The sequence below is a fragment of the Homo sapiens genome, chromosome 1, assembly GCF_000001405.40.
Source record: "Homo sapiens chromosome 1, GRCh38.p14 Primary Assembly".
Classification (NCBI taxonomy): domain Eukaryota; kingdom Metazoa; phylum Chordata; class Mammalia; order Primates; family Hominidae; genus Homo; species Homo sapiens.
This window is the reverse complement of record NC_000001.11, coordinates 56,941,393-56,955,679: the sequence shown is the minus strand read 5'-3', so window position 1 is coordinate 56,955,679 and position 14,287 is coordinate 56,941,393. Positions and strand designations below refer to the sequence as shown.

The following is a 14,287-nucleotide window of genomic DNA, read 5'->3' as shown; positions in this document are numbered from 1 at the left end:
GTTCCATGATTCTGATGAAAGCCATGATGGTTATTTGGACAGGCTTTAGTTTAAATGTCTGGTAAGAAACATTTGAAGGCCAGATTGCTATTTTTCTGCTTTTAACACTCCAAGAACATTGGTTTAAAATGACCAGACATATCTGAGGAAATAGGACTACCTGTCTTATGGGCTTTATCTCCCAACGATATACTAATAAGAAAGGAAATCAATCAGGAGGAAAAAGTTTAAAGGAAGCAAAAGGGATGCAAATAATTTTTCATAATCCAAATGACTATGTTGTTGAAGGCAGTGTGGTTTAGTGGGAAGAATTTGTGATTAGACAGTTAAAGGTTTCAATCCCACTGCAAATATTTACTAGTTAATGTGCACTTGGCCCTCAAAAACACGAATAGTACTGATAACACTTACACAGCACTTCCTAGGAGTCAGTACTGTTTTATTTATTCATTTAAACTTCGAACAACCTTATGGGATAGGTATTTTACTTTCCTATTTTACAGGTGAGTAAATTGAGGCAGAGAGGTTAAGTAACAAGAGAAAAGTGGCCCAGCTCACACAATTTACAGGACACACCCATCCCACCCCCTCTTTCCAGCCCCAGGGAGAGAGAGTCCAAACTGTCCTGCTGCTTTCTGGAATACAACACTGGCCTCTTCTGCTGAGGGAGGTGGCAATAGAGGAATAAACTGTTAGTGCCATAACCAATCTATCTGGATACAGGATGACTAATTAAAACAGGGCAGCATGCAAGGCCTGACAAAAGGTCTGGCACTTGGTAGGTGCTTATACTATGTTAGTTCCTTTCTTGCCAACCATGTGGCTGTGGGTAATACTCTTTCTCCATTCTAGGAAGGTGTGTAAACCGCAGACTTCTTTGCAATGGGGACAATGACTGTGGAGACCAGTCAGATGAAGCAAACTGTAGAAGGATTTATAAAAAATGTCAGCATGAAATGGACCAATACTGGGGAATTGGCAGTCTGGCCAGTGGGTAAGTGACCATTTTTCTGTGGCGTAGATGGGAAGGCACAGCATTAAATGGAATTCTGGCGGATAGAGAATGAGAGAACTGATATAAACAGAGGTCCTCACTCACCTTTCTGAGAAAAGACTGTATTGTAAGTAACACTTCCGGTTGCTCTCTGAGGGCAGTTCCAAGCAGCTCCAGGAACACGTCCCATGGACAGATATAGGCATCAGGAGGGCTGGTTTGGAACACTGGGACAGAGCTGTGCATGTGTGGAAACCACACAGGCTGCTATGCAAGGGCTGGGGTAGGGAGGGGAGCCTTTATTTTAACACCTGCAGTGTGACCATGTTAGGTGCTTTCTAAGCCTTACATTCTTGAATCCTATTGACAACTTGGCAGGCAGGTTTTATCCAGGTCTGCCCCTATCTCCCAGCATTGGTCCCTCCAAGAAGAGAGGTCTCTATTTAGACAGTGAAGGGATGGATTTCCAGGGCTTTTGGGGATCTCTGAGTTGGTCCTGTCCTCTAGCGAGGACAGAGGAGCAAGTTCAGAAGGGGCCACACTGGCCTGGCATGCACCTTACTTTCCTGCCATATTTTGCATCTTCTCAGCCTGCAGGTGGAAGAGGGAGACCTTCCCCTCATATGCTTTAGGAATCATCATATGAGACACAGCCTGGGGAGGGGAACACTGACCCCGAATGGGATTTACCTTCTTTCTAAAAAAACCCATCAAATCTCAATTTTTAAAGTTGTCACTAGAGACTCTTCACATGGGAGGCTTCTCTCAGGATTGCCTTATAAGCTAGTTATTATAATTCCCACCTTGCAGATAAGGAAACTGAGGCCCGGGAAAGTTGAGTGAGTTCCAGGGTCACCCAGCTAGAGTGTGGGATAGCAGACATTCAAAGCCAGCAGTAGGGTCTGACAGGACCCTGTAGGAGGGAACTGAAGGAGTGGCTCACTGGCCAGGGCACCTCGGGCAAGGCACTTATCTACGTGGAACTTTAGCTTTATCATCTGCAGGAGGAAGTTAATAACATGCTTCTTTCAAAGTGCTGTGAAGATTGAACAAGTGAATGTGACTAACATACGAGGTGCTGGGCAGCTCGTGTGGTGGGAAGAATACAGACTCTGTTCTTGCTCCACTGTCAGATTTCAAAGTCCAGTCCACCCATTGTTCCCGGCAGGGAGACTCTGGGTTAGTCAGTTACCCTCATGTTTCTCATCTGCAAAATGGGGATAATAGTAATACTAACCTCCTAATGATTAATCCTCATAAGGATTAAATGAGCCATTGTGTGTAAATTGATTAGGATGATGCCTCCACAAAGTCAGCACCACATTATATTTGTTAAAGAAAATAAATATGTATACATTATTTTGATACATGGAATATGTCATGGGAAAGAGACCCCAGACAATTCTGGTGAGGAACAGAACCAAGGCCAATAAGTGGAAGCTGATAGGAGACAGAGACTCTTAATAAAAACAGAAATTTCAGTAGTTAGAGATGGTCAAGAATGGAAGCTTGCCTTAGGAGGCAGTTACAAATAATGTCTAAGGAGGGGCTGGATTCTTTTCCTCTCTAAAATGGAGATAACATCTATTGCACAGAGCTGCAGGGACACTAATGAGATGATGCACGTAGCTACCCACTGCTGTGTTTGTCACCAGTTACACCCTCAGTAAACAGTAATTATTGTGAATAATATTGTAAATGCGTTGTGATGAGGGTTGTACGGAAATTAAGAAAACCGCCACTTCAAACAGCACACAGTATAGTGAGGGTGACAAATACATAAATAGCACATTTATCGCGGACCAAGTAGTGTTTTAAGGACTTCATAAACATGATACATGTGATCCTCACAACATCCCCATGAGGTAGTATTTTCATGGTCCCTATTTGCATATGAGCAGACTGAGGCACACAGGTAGTAAGTGGCCACCCAAGGTTTAATTGGCTTGCCCAAGGTCACCTGGGCAGTAAGGGGCAGAACAGAGATTGGATCTCAGACGTCTGGCTCCAAAGTCCACGCACTTATCTATTATGCTACCCAACTCTCGCAAGGCAACTGTAGTAATACAGGACAATAAATGCACAACGGTGCGAGCACAGGGTGTTATGAGGGTCCCTAACCCAGCTGGGCTGCGGGCTTCAAGCACCACAAGTGTCAGTGGAACCTCTCACCATAGTGGCAACAGAGCTCAATCTTGACAGACAAGTCAGAGATAAAACAGTGACTGGGTGGAAGGGCATTCTGGGCGCAGGGAACAGTACCTACCACAGAAGGAGCTGAGTAGACTGGAGCAAGAGCAAGCCTCTTCACATGGCTGGGGACTAGGGCACGTGGCTGTGGTTAAGGGCGGCCATAAATGAAGCTGGAAAGCTGGCTTGGACCAGGTATCAAGGGCCTTGAAGGCTGTGCCAAGGAGTTTTTGTTTTCGTTCAGTAGGGTCTGACAGTCAAGATTAAGCAACCGCAAACTTTAACCTCTTCGCCATCTCTGTCTCTTCCTCACAGGATAAATTTGTTCACAAACAGTTTTGAGGGCCCAGTTCTTGATCACAGGTATTATGCAGGTGGATGCTCCCCGCATTACATCCTGAACACGAGGTTTAGGAAGCCCTACAATGTGGAAAGCTACACGCCACAGGTAAGAGACAGCCAGGTAGCAGTGGAGGGAGCCCCAGCTGAGCACCCAGTTAGCAGGGTCCATGGTCCGGCCTGACAGCCTGCTAGCCCTTTTCTCTTTGAGCTTCAGTTTCTTCATATGTGAAAATGGGCAGTTCCTTCCTCCAGACATTGTGGTGAAGATGACATGCTGTATATAGCAACAGGAGGGCGGTTGTAGAGCAGTAATAATAGAAACCATAATATCAAAAGCTACCTTGAAGATAGAAATAAAGCTTAGGATTTGGAGTCACACTGACTTGGTGGCTCTGCCACTTACCATCCATATAATCCAAAGGCTATGAGCCTCTGTTTTCCTATCTTTAAATTGGGAGTTATAGAGGTCCTACCCTGCAGGGAGAGGATTAGTGAGATAATGTGTGTAAGTATTTAGCACAGCACCTGGCTTAATGGTGAGTCCACAGAAAATGTTAACTCTTTTTGCTGTTGTTATTGCATTCTTATCAAATCCCTGCCTATTAAAAGCAGGCATTACTCTAAGCATTTTATGAAATGCTCTACCAATGTAAGCCCCTATTATGATTGATGTACAAACTTAGAAACATCTCACAGACAGTGGGGTATAGAATAGCCCATAGGACACACACACTTGAGATCCGATGGGAACACACTGGGTTCCAGGACTGGCTCTGCCACAGGTCCCAATTTTACCTTAGGTTAAGTTCCTTTTCCACTCTGGGCCTCAGTTTTCTCATCTGTGAAACTGGGGGACGAGACTAGAAGATCTTGACGGTAATTTCCACTTCCAAAATTGCTCCCTTTTTTCTAGCCGGGTGTGGTGGTGCGTGTCTATAGTCCCAACCACTTGGGAGGCTGAGGCGGGAGGATCACTTGAGCCCAGGAGGTTGAGGCTACAGTGAGTCAAGGTCGTACCACTGCACTCCAGCTTGGTGACAAAGCAAGATCCTGTCTTTAAAATGTATTTATTGCACCATTTTGAAGGCTAGCTCCTCCTTACTCCTCCTTCCCTTCCTCCCCAACACACTTTTTAGCCAAGAAAGAACAAATTTGGCTTAGCGCCAAACACACTCTCCATTGGGGTGTCCAGTGCCATCCTCAAAACCTCTAATTTCAAGGGAGGATTTCACAGCAACCATTACCATCCAGGTGCAAGTGGATCCTAACTCAGGCAGGACATACATGGTAAACTCTCCGCTCTCCATACCAACATTCTTTGAGCGCTGTGCCAGGTGCCGTGCTATGACTTACCAGTATAAGCCCAATCCTCAGAACAAGCCTGATGAAAGGGACCATTATCTCCTCCATTTTACACATGAAGAAACTGAGGCATGGAGAGGTCAAGGCAATTGTCCAAAGTCATCCGACTAGACAAGAGCAGAGACACAGCGCATCTCAGTGGCCATGCTGTAGACCATGTCCGAACTGCTCCTCCTTCCCCTTGTAGCGGCTGAGCTGTTGCACCCTTGTCTGGGAGTTGCAGGCTGAATGGGCAGAAGCTGAAGCTGATGGGAGCTGTGGGCAGGGAGATGACTCAGGACTGGTCACTCCAGGGCCCCCAGGGCAGTACCCTTGGCAGTTCCCCTACACACAGTGCCATGAACACTGGTTTTAGAGCAAATGGCTCTCCTAAGTTCTCTCTAAGGCACTTTCCTGCCCTTGTCACTTGATCCTCCAGCCACTGCCTTAGACCAGACCCTCATCAACCATCACCTGCACTGCTCTTACAGCCTCCTCATGGGTTTGTCTCTCTGACTCTAAATTTTTCCCTTCCAATCCAACCACCAGGTTGTCCCACATCATCTTCCTGAGGCTTGATCTACTCCCTCTGCTAGGTCATACTTGAATTACTCCCAGATTTCAGGAGAAGTAATTCAAAAGCCTATTTTGATGTCAGAATATCCTCTCACAACATCCCCTTTTTCTCCTCGCTGTTTCAACTTCTCAATGAACTGCACTGCTATCCTTGCAGTTCCTGGGGCACACCCTCCCCTTTCCCACCTCCATGCTTTTGCTTAAGCTGAGCCCACAGCCCAGAATGTTCCCCTGCATTTTTGCCAGTTGAAATACAAATCAAAAACCAACCTCTAAGTTTTCACCCAAGGTATTGATCAGGTCTGTCTCTGCTACTGAACCAAGAGCCCTGAGGTGGGGACACAAATCGGCCCTGATTTCTCTGTATCCAGAGCATCTAGTTCAGTATCCAGCACATGGTAGGAGTAGAGTGGCTGTCTGCTCACTGGTATTGAACTGATTTGAGTCAAATGAAATAAAAAACCCTTTCTTTTTTCTTCTTTAGACCCAAGGCAAATACGAATTCATATTAAAAGAGTATGAATCATACTCAGATTTTGAACGCAATGTCACAGAGAAAATGGCAAGCAAGTCTGGTTTCAGTTTTGGTTTTAAAATACCTGGAATATTTGAACTTGGCATCAGTAGTCAAAGTGATCGAGGCAAACACTATATTAGGAGAACCAAACGATTCTCTCATACTGTAAGTATGTCTTTGTTGCTTTTAAACGTATATGTTGTCTTACTCCATTTTCTGCTGCTGTAACAAAACACCACAGAATGGATGATTTATAAAGAAAAGACATTTACTTGGCTCACAGTTCTGGAGGCTGGGAAGTCCAAGATCAAGGTGCCACATATAGTGAGGGCCTTCTTGCTGCATCATAACATGGTAGAAGGCATCACATGGTGAGGAAGTACATGCAGGAGACAGAAAAAAGGGGGCTGAACTTCATTCTTTTATCAGGAGCCCACTCCTACGATAACTAACCCTCTCCTGAAACAACAGCATTAATCTATTCATGAGGGCAGAACCCTCATGACATAATAACCTCATAAAGGTGCCTCCTTTCAAAACTGTTACAATGGCAATTAAATTTCAACATGAGTTTTGGAGGGGACATTCCAGATATAGCATATGGATCCTTTGGAAATGACATGCCCCAAATGTGTCTATATTCCACGTTACAACTAGTTCTAACAACCAATTATCTTTCTGTTGTCTTGAAATCTTCTCAAAAAAAAAAAATAGCTAACTTACTTTTTAGAGAGACCAGGCAGAGATAACCTTCTCTAATTATTTTCTTTCATTTTCTAATAAACTTTTCCCTTAGGGTTTCAATAAGCTTAAGATGTAGCTTTGAAGACCAGAACTTCTCTGGAGACTTTTTAGCCCACAGGAATTTGACTTTTATCCCAGACATCCAGCTGAAATTCCTCTCTGGAATGTTACCCAAGACCTCTTCTCTGACTTCTTAGGGTGCTCAGTGGAGATGACCAAACCATTGCTCTCCTGTTTCTCCTGCTTTCTTTCTGCTCCTTATCAGCTTCCTTCCTGGGTCTAATATTCCCATCTGTCCTTTATTTAATTCATGGCCCTCTTCTCAATGTACTCTCCAATCTCCCCTGGGTGCCTGCCCTCTTCGACTCACTTCCTCTTTTACAGGGACAAGCTATGAGCCTTCATCACTGCTTCTAACCTCTTGGTTAAACTTCAGACCTTCCCTATCCACTCTTCTGAGCATCTCACCTGGGCATTGTGCTGACACTCCAAGGCAATGTCTTCTTCCTAAATTTTCAATGGATGTTAATGGCATATTCCCCTCTACTTTTCCAGGCTAAGAACTGAGCCAGAATCATATCTGGCTCTCACTTCTGCTTCATGTCCACATCTGTTGATTACCAAATCCTTCAGTATTACTATTCAATATTTGTTTACACTAACTCCTATTACCTCTTAATCCATGTTCTTTCATCTCTTACTGTGCCCAACTAAATAGTTTGTCTCCTAGCTTTCCCCTTCAAACACATGAAGAAATATTTCTATGATACTAATCTGATCATATCATCTGCTTCCTATTGCTTACTCCCTCCCCATTTCCTTCTCTCCTTCTCTCCCTTCCAGCTCCCTGATTCAAATTGCCAGTTATAGGATGTTAGCACTGGGCCAGGCACTATCCTAGAGATAGACTAGGGATCTGTAGCCTCTAGGATAATATTCTGGCCTTCGTGTTCACAGTGCAGTGTAGTAGGAGCAGCAAACATGAAAGCCAATATATTATTCTTTTTGTTTGTTTGTTTGTTTTGTTTTGTTTTGTTTTGTTTTTGAGACAGAGTCTTGCTCTGTTGCCCAGGCTGGAGTGCAGTGGCATGATCTCGGCTCACTTCAACCTCCACCTCCCGGGTTCAAGCGATTCTCCTGCCTCAGCCTCCCAAGCAGCTGGGACTACAGGCACATGCTACCATGCTCAGCTAATTTTTTGTATTTTTAGTAGAGACGGGGTTTCACCATGTTAACCAGGATGATCTTGATCTACTGACCTCATGATCTGCCTGCCTTGGCCTCCCAAAGTGCTGGGATTACAGGTGTGAGCCACCACTCCCGGCCATATTTTTCTTAATTATATCAGTTGTAATACAACATGGCATATGCTATAAAGGAAATGCAAGCAAGTACAATGCAATCCTAGAAAAGGGAGTGCCAGGGTGCATCTGGGACCTTCAGGTTGTTATCAGATTGGAGGCAATGGCAAAGTAGAAATTTAAAAGGTAAGTAGGTATATGTCGGGCAGAAAAGGGAGAAAATAACATTTCAGGGAGAAGGAACAGCATGTGCAAAATAATATGAAAGAGAATAGCAGGCTTGGGGAACAGTGAAAAGTTGGATGAATGCTGACGTACGTGGTTGGTAGAAAGTAGTAAAGTGTGGAGAAGAAAACTTCAGGAGTGTAGAAGCTGAAGCCAGAGAGGCTACTGGAGGACAAATTGTGATGATCTTATACTCAGAGTAGGGGAGCTGATTTTATTCTGAAGACAACAGCAAGCCATGCAAGGTTTTGCTTTAAGCCAAGAGGAGCATGGTCATAATACAATCTGAATTTTAGGATGTCAACTCTGACTGGGGCATTGAAGGAGGCAAAAGAAAGGAAGGAGATTAGGGAGGAGGCTTTTATAATAATGCAAACAAAATGAGATGCAACCTAAAATATTCAGAAAAATAATGAACAGAGTACCTAGTGACTGCTTATTTAGGAAGGGTAAGGGAGAAGGAAGAGGGTCATAGGTCACTGAGGCAGGCCTAGAATGGGGCGAGAGCAAGCTAGGAGACAAAATGAGGCCCCAGGGCAATAGGCACCAGCACAGCTGGCATGGCTTTGTAGAACTGAAGGATTTAGGATTAGGCCGAACATATCTCACAGGCGTTTGCCACCTTCCTCTTTTTCTCTGCCTATACAGCACTATAGGGAATGCTCACCTAGGGTTGTACTAACACTTTCTAGATGTTTATACTTCATCTGGCATCACCAGCTTTCAGTCTATTCCATACATGGAGAGTCACCAAACTTTCTGTAAAGGTCCAGATAGTAAATATTTTAGGCTTTGTGAGACTGCAAGGTCTCTGTTGCAACTATTCAACACTGCCATTGGAGTGTGACACCAGTTGTAAACCGTATGTAAGTAATGGAGGCAGTTGTGTTCCAATAAAACTTTATTTACAGGTACAGGTACTGAGTTTGGTATGAGGCTGTATTTTGCTGACTCCTGCCATACGCTGTCATAGCTGGTTTTCCTAAAGCACCACTTTTACTCTTTCTTGCACGGCTTTTTTTCCAGAGTTTACAGGCATCAGCAAAGCGGGCACTTTTGCAGGTTAGCAAACCCCATGTCCCATCAGAGAGGTCCCATGCCCTCCAGCTGCTCCCTGCCATGCCTGCTTTTGTTACCCTTCCCAGTCCTTATTCTCTACAGTAAGGAGGTGAGTTAAGAGCAAGCTCTTCCAAGCTGAACAGGATGTCAGAATATTTATGAGCACTGAAAGCTTGTCAAAGAGGCTGTCTTCCCTCAAGTATCCTAAAGGAATCATAAGAGTGATGACCCCAGGCCAAGAACATCGGATGGTATTTGTAAAGTTCATCTTCTCGTTCCAGATTCCTAACTTTAAAGGTCTGGTTTTCCCATGTTGGTATTTCATTTAGAAAAGCGTATTTCTGCATGCACGCTCTGACCTTGAAGTAGCACATTACAAGCTGAAACCCAGAAGCCTCATGCTCCATTACGAGTTCCTTCAGAGAGTTAAGCGGCTGCCCCTGGAGTACAGCTACGGGGAATACAGAGATCTCTTCCGTGATTTTGGGACCCACTACATCACAGAGGCTGTGCTTGGGGGCATTTATGAATACACCCTCGTTATGAACAAAGAGGCCATGGAGAGAGGAGGTATACTGCCCAAGGGACCATGGCTTTCCTAAAAGCTGGGGGAAGAGTCATAAGTTGAACTTGTAGTTTTCTTTCTACCTTCCTGGCTACACCTTCACAGTGTCATTTGCAGATTCCTCTTCCTCTTCTTTTTGATTGACAATGTCAGTCCTCCTCTGCCTAGCTCCCTAGGCCATTCTCTTTTCTACAGCTTTTCTCTCTATGCAATTGTATCCAATCCCATGGTTCTAAATACCTTCAGCATGCAGATAATTCCTGGATCTCTTCCTGGATCCATCCTGGATCTCTTCCTGCACCCGAGAGTTTATGTTGAAATGTTTCTTTGATGTCTGCATGTGAATGTGTAGCAAATCTCACCAGCTGAACATGTGCCCAAAGAGAACTTTTGACTTTCTTTCTCCAATATGTTTTATTCTATAGCCATCTACATCTCAGAAACGGTTCCACCAACGAACCAGTGGCTCAAGCCATAAAACTAGCAGTCCACCTTGATTATTTTTCTTTTCTTCAAATCTGCTGTTTTTTCTTTTCTTCAAATCCATCAGCTCTACCTCCAAATTATATTTTCTATTTTTCCTATTACCACCATAGGCTCACCCCATGACCAGACCTTCACATTCAAAATTTAATGTGGATGTGAATCAAGTATGAATCTTGGAAGAGGTAGATTCTGATTCAGTAGGTTTGGAGTGAGACCTAAGAGTGCATTTCTAACAAGCTTTGGAGTGACCCTGATGCTGCTGGCCAATAGACCATACTTTACATAGCAAGGTCTCAGATTATCACTGTGGTCTCCAAAGTAATATTCCACCCCCATCCCTCCCCTGTAATTCATCTTCATAGAGATATCCCAGCTCTTTCCAATTCCAGTCAACTACAAGTCTGCTGCTTTCCAACCCAATATCCTTTCCTATGACATGGCACTTGTTGGGTTAAGTGAATGGCTGTAGGTCACACAGATTGCAGTGGTGGAGCCAGGGCTTGATTACCAGTCCATGTACTTGCAAGAGGACACGTGGTACACCATGTAAATTTTTACAGTGTGGCCTCAGTCTTGTCAAAATCAGAGGTACCTTCCTGCATAAAAATGGTCTCAGAAGTACTTTCCACTGTTCCTCAAACATAAAAGGGCTTAATCATTAAATAAGTTAGGAAAACACATAATAGATTCCACTCTCAAAGTTTCACGAATGTACTCCAATAAAATGACCTCTCCACCTATTTTGATGCAACATTTGTCACACTTTCTTGACCACAGAAGTTCCTTTTCTCATAACATCTGCTACCATCTCATGGGATTCATGTTTCAAGAAATGCACTTTGGGAAAAACTGATCTATACCAACATTTCTAGACAGCCCTGGTGGTCAAAGTTGCTCTTTTCTCCCTGAACTGGCCTCAGAGTGCTTAGAGAGGTGCTTATAAGTCACGTCTGGAATTTCAGCAAGACAAGAGGAGGAGGATGCCTCAGGGAGAATTAGGGAGGAAGAAGTAGGAAATAGTCCAAAAATGAAGAAGAAATCAGGGAAATTTGCCCCTTTTCTTTGCCAGATACTATGCCTTACTTTTTATATGCATTTTCTCAACTAATTAATTAACACACTTTTTCTACTTTATCAAAGATTGGAGAAGGGTGGGTCAGGGAGGGCAGGCAGATTGTAACAGTCACTGTACTCACTGGATCTATCCCTAGAGAATCAATAAGCAGATCAAATTTTTAGAAAATGACTTTGAGCACTTCCCCTCTTTCAAAGTCAGCAAGAATCCTCAGAGAGCGTTGCGGGGAGGCTGAAAGGGAAGCTGGACCTGAGCTCTACGAGGTCTCTGCCCTGGTGCCATTTGCTGCCTACATTTCTTGTTATCAGGCTGGTGACCTATTTATTTGAACCCGAGTCCTTGTGACATTCAACAGGGCTAGGCCTCTGGACTCGATCATAGGAAAAGGGACAGAGTGAACTACCTTTTACGTCATGGACCTTTTTCCTTGTTTTCTTCAGATTATACTCTTAACAACGTCCATGCCTGTGCCAAAAATGATTTTAAAATTGGTGGTGCCATTGAAGAGGTCTACGTCAGTCTGGGTGTGTCTGTAGGCAAATGCAGAGGTATTCTGAATGAAATAAAAGGTGAGTGACAGGGGCTTGTGACTTCCACACTTATAATGTTTATCCTCCTAGTGCCTCTGGTGATTACAACACCTCCCTCCCTTTTTGAGACAAATACTATCCCAACTTCTAGGCCAACTATGTCCTTCTGTTTTTTATAGTTTTACCATCTAACATATCGCTAACTAACATGACTTAGTGTTGCTTATTTTTGAACTTTATATGAATGGAATATAATCCTTCCAGTCCTGTGTTTTCCATTCAACATAATGTTTTTGTGTATAACTATAGTTAGTTCACTTCTATCGCTGCATACTATTTTGTTGAATATACCACTTTCTTTGTCCATTCTACTGTTGATGAACACTTGGATTATCTCCTCTTTCAAGCAATTATAACTGATGCTGCTCTGAACATCTTACATAGTTATCTGGTACGCACGTACAAGTGTCTTTCCAGAGAATACACACAGGACTGGAATTGCTGGGTTTTAGAGGGTGTGCTTTTTCTATTTGACTAGATAGTGCTAAGCTGTTTTCTAAAATGGCTGTACCAATTTATACTCCTGTTGGCAGTAGATGAGGACTCCTCCCCTCCCCCAGCTTTTTTTTATTTATTTTTTATTTTTTATTTTTATTTTTTTGAGACAGAGTCTTACTCTGGCGTGATCTCGGCTCACTGCAATCTCCACCTTCGGGGCTCAGGCAATCCTCTCACCTCAGCCTCCTGAGTAGCTGGGACTACCGGTGCATGCCACCATGCTCGGCTAATTATTATTATTATTATTTATTTTATTTTATTTTATTTTTTACAGAGACAGGGTTTTGCCATGTTGCCCAGCTGGTCTCAAACTCTTGGGCTCAAGCCATCTACAAGCCTCGGTACCCTCAAAGTGCTGGAATTACAGGCATGAACCACCATGCCTGGCAGAGACGCCCCCCTACTTTTTAATGCTGCTCAGGTGTTGCAGGCTCAGACTTGAGGAGCTGTTTTATACCAGTTCTCTTTTTTTTGAGATGGAGTCTCACTCTGTCACCCAGGCTGGAGTGCAGTGGTATGACCTCAGCTCACTGCAACCTCCGCCTCCCGGGTTCAAGGGATTCTTCTGCCTCAGCCTCCCAAAAGCTGGGACTACAGGCATGTGCCACCACGCCTGGCTAATATTTGTATTTTTAGTAGAGACAGGGTTTCGCCATGTTGTTGGCCAGGCTGGTCCCAAACTCCTGACCTCAAGTGATCCACTCACCTCGGCCTCCCAAAGTGCTGGGATTAGAGGCATGAGCCACCACGCTGGGCTGTTTTACACCAGTTCTTTTGGCACTGGGGACATAGACACATTAGAATGGAAATAACTCACTGATATGATTGAGGGCTTTCTGGGCAACTCCGTAAGTCAAAATAATAATTGCTTTATAGTGGCCACTGTTTAGTAAGTGTCAGCTGCATGCTTACTTAGCACAGCCTTTATAAATTTTCCCACAATTGTCATCTCACACAAAGAAGTGAGACAATTTAAGGCCTGGACAGGGCCGTCTGGTAAGTACCTTCATCTCTCCCAGATTTCTTATCTGCACAGTGAGGATTATATAGCTACTATTTTGTAGTGAAGATCAAATGCATTCATACATGTACAGCACTTAGATTACTGACTGACACATAAATAATCAATAATTATTAGTTGTTAATATACCATTTATTCTTTACACGGATGCAGAGTATCCACTTTATAGATGAGAACAAAAAAGAAATCTCATACTGTATAAATGATTTGTCCCAAACCACAAGGCTAGACAAAGTCAGAGATGGACTCATGCCTGGTCAAGGTGTGTAGGGTGAGTGGAGGAGAGGATGAACTCAGTTTCCACCAGGTGAGCTCCACTACACTTTACCTGCAGGAGCCAGTTTGGAGAGAGGAAAGTTATTTGACCAAGGAACAGTGGCTATGAAACCAGGCAGACCTTGTTTAAAATTTATCTTTATCAGCTACTAGCTGTGTGGGCCTTGGCAAGTCACTTAACAATTCCAGGTACGTGTTTCATAATTTGTGAAGTAGAGCTAATAATGCTGGGCTCCTAAAATTGCTATCTGGTAAAAGAAAATATCATAGCCTGTCTATCTCTCTCTCTATCTATCCATCTACCTGTCTGTGTGTCTGTCTGTCTATTATCTATCTATCTATCTATCTATCTATCTATCTATCTATCTATGTATCTATCTATCTACTATTATCTACTATTATCTATCTATTTATCTGTCTGTCTATCTTTCTATCAATCTATTATCTATCTCCTATCACCTATCTACCTACTTACCTATCATCTATC

General features: G+C 43.5%; 1 protein-coding gene across 4 annotated transcripts in view; it reads left to right on the top strand.

Annotated features, from left to right (window-relative positions):
* The window catches only part of C8B (complement C8 beta chain), a 36,809-nt gene that overhangs the window by 10,336 nt on the left and 12,186 nt on the right, over positions 1-14,287 (top strand). For 3 of the 4 annotated variants that reach the window (NM_000066.4, NM_001278544.2, NM_001278543.2), the window contains 5 exons: positions 853-994; positions 3,500-3,632; positions 5,928-6,125; positions 9,619-9,859; positions 11,856-11,984. In NM_000066.4, coding sequence (NP_000057.3) covers positions 853-994; positions 3,500-3,632; positions 5,928-6,125; positions 9,619-9,859; positions 11,856-11,984 — 843 coding nt within the window. Of the gene's footprint in view, positions 1-852; positions 995-3,499; positions 3,633-5,927; positions 6,126-9,618; positions 9,860-11,855; positions 11,985-14,287 lie in introns of those variants that run through there. The other variant, XM_047429957.1, reaches the window with a different exon arrangement.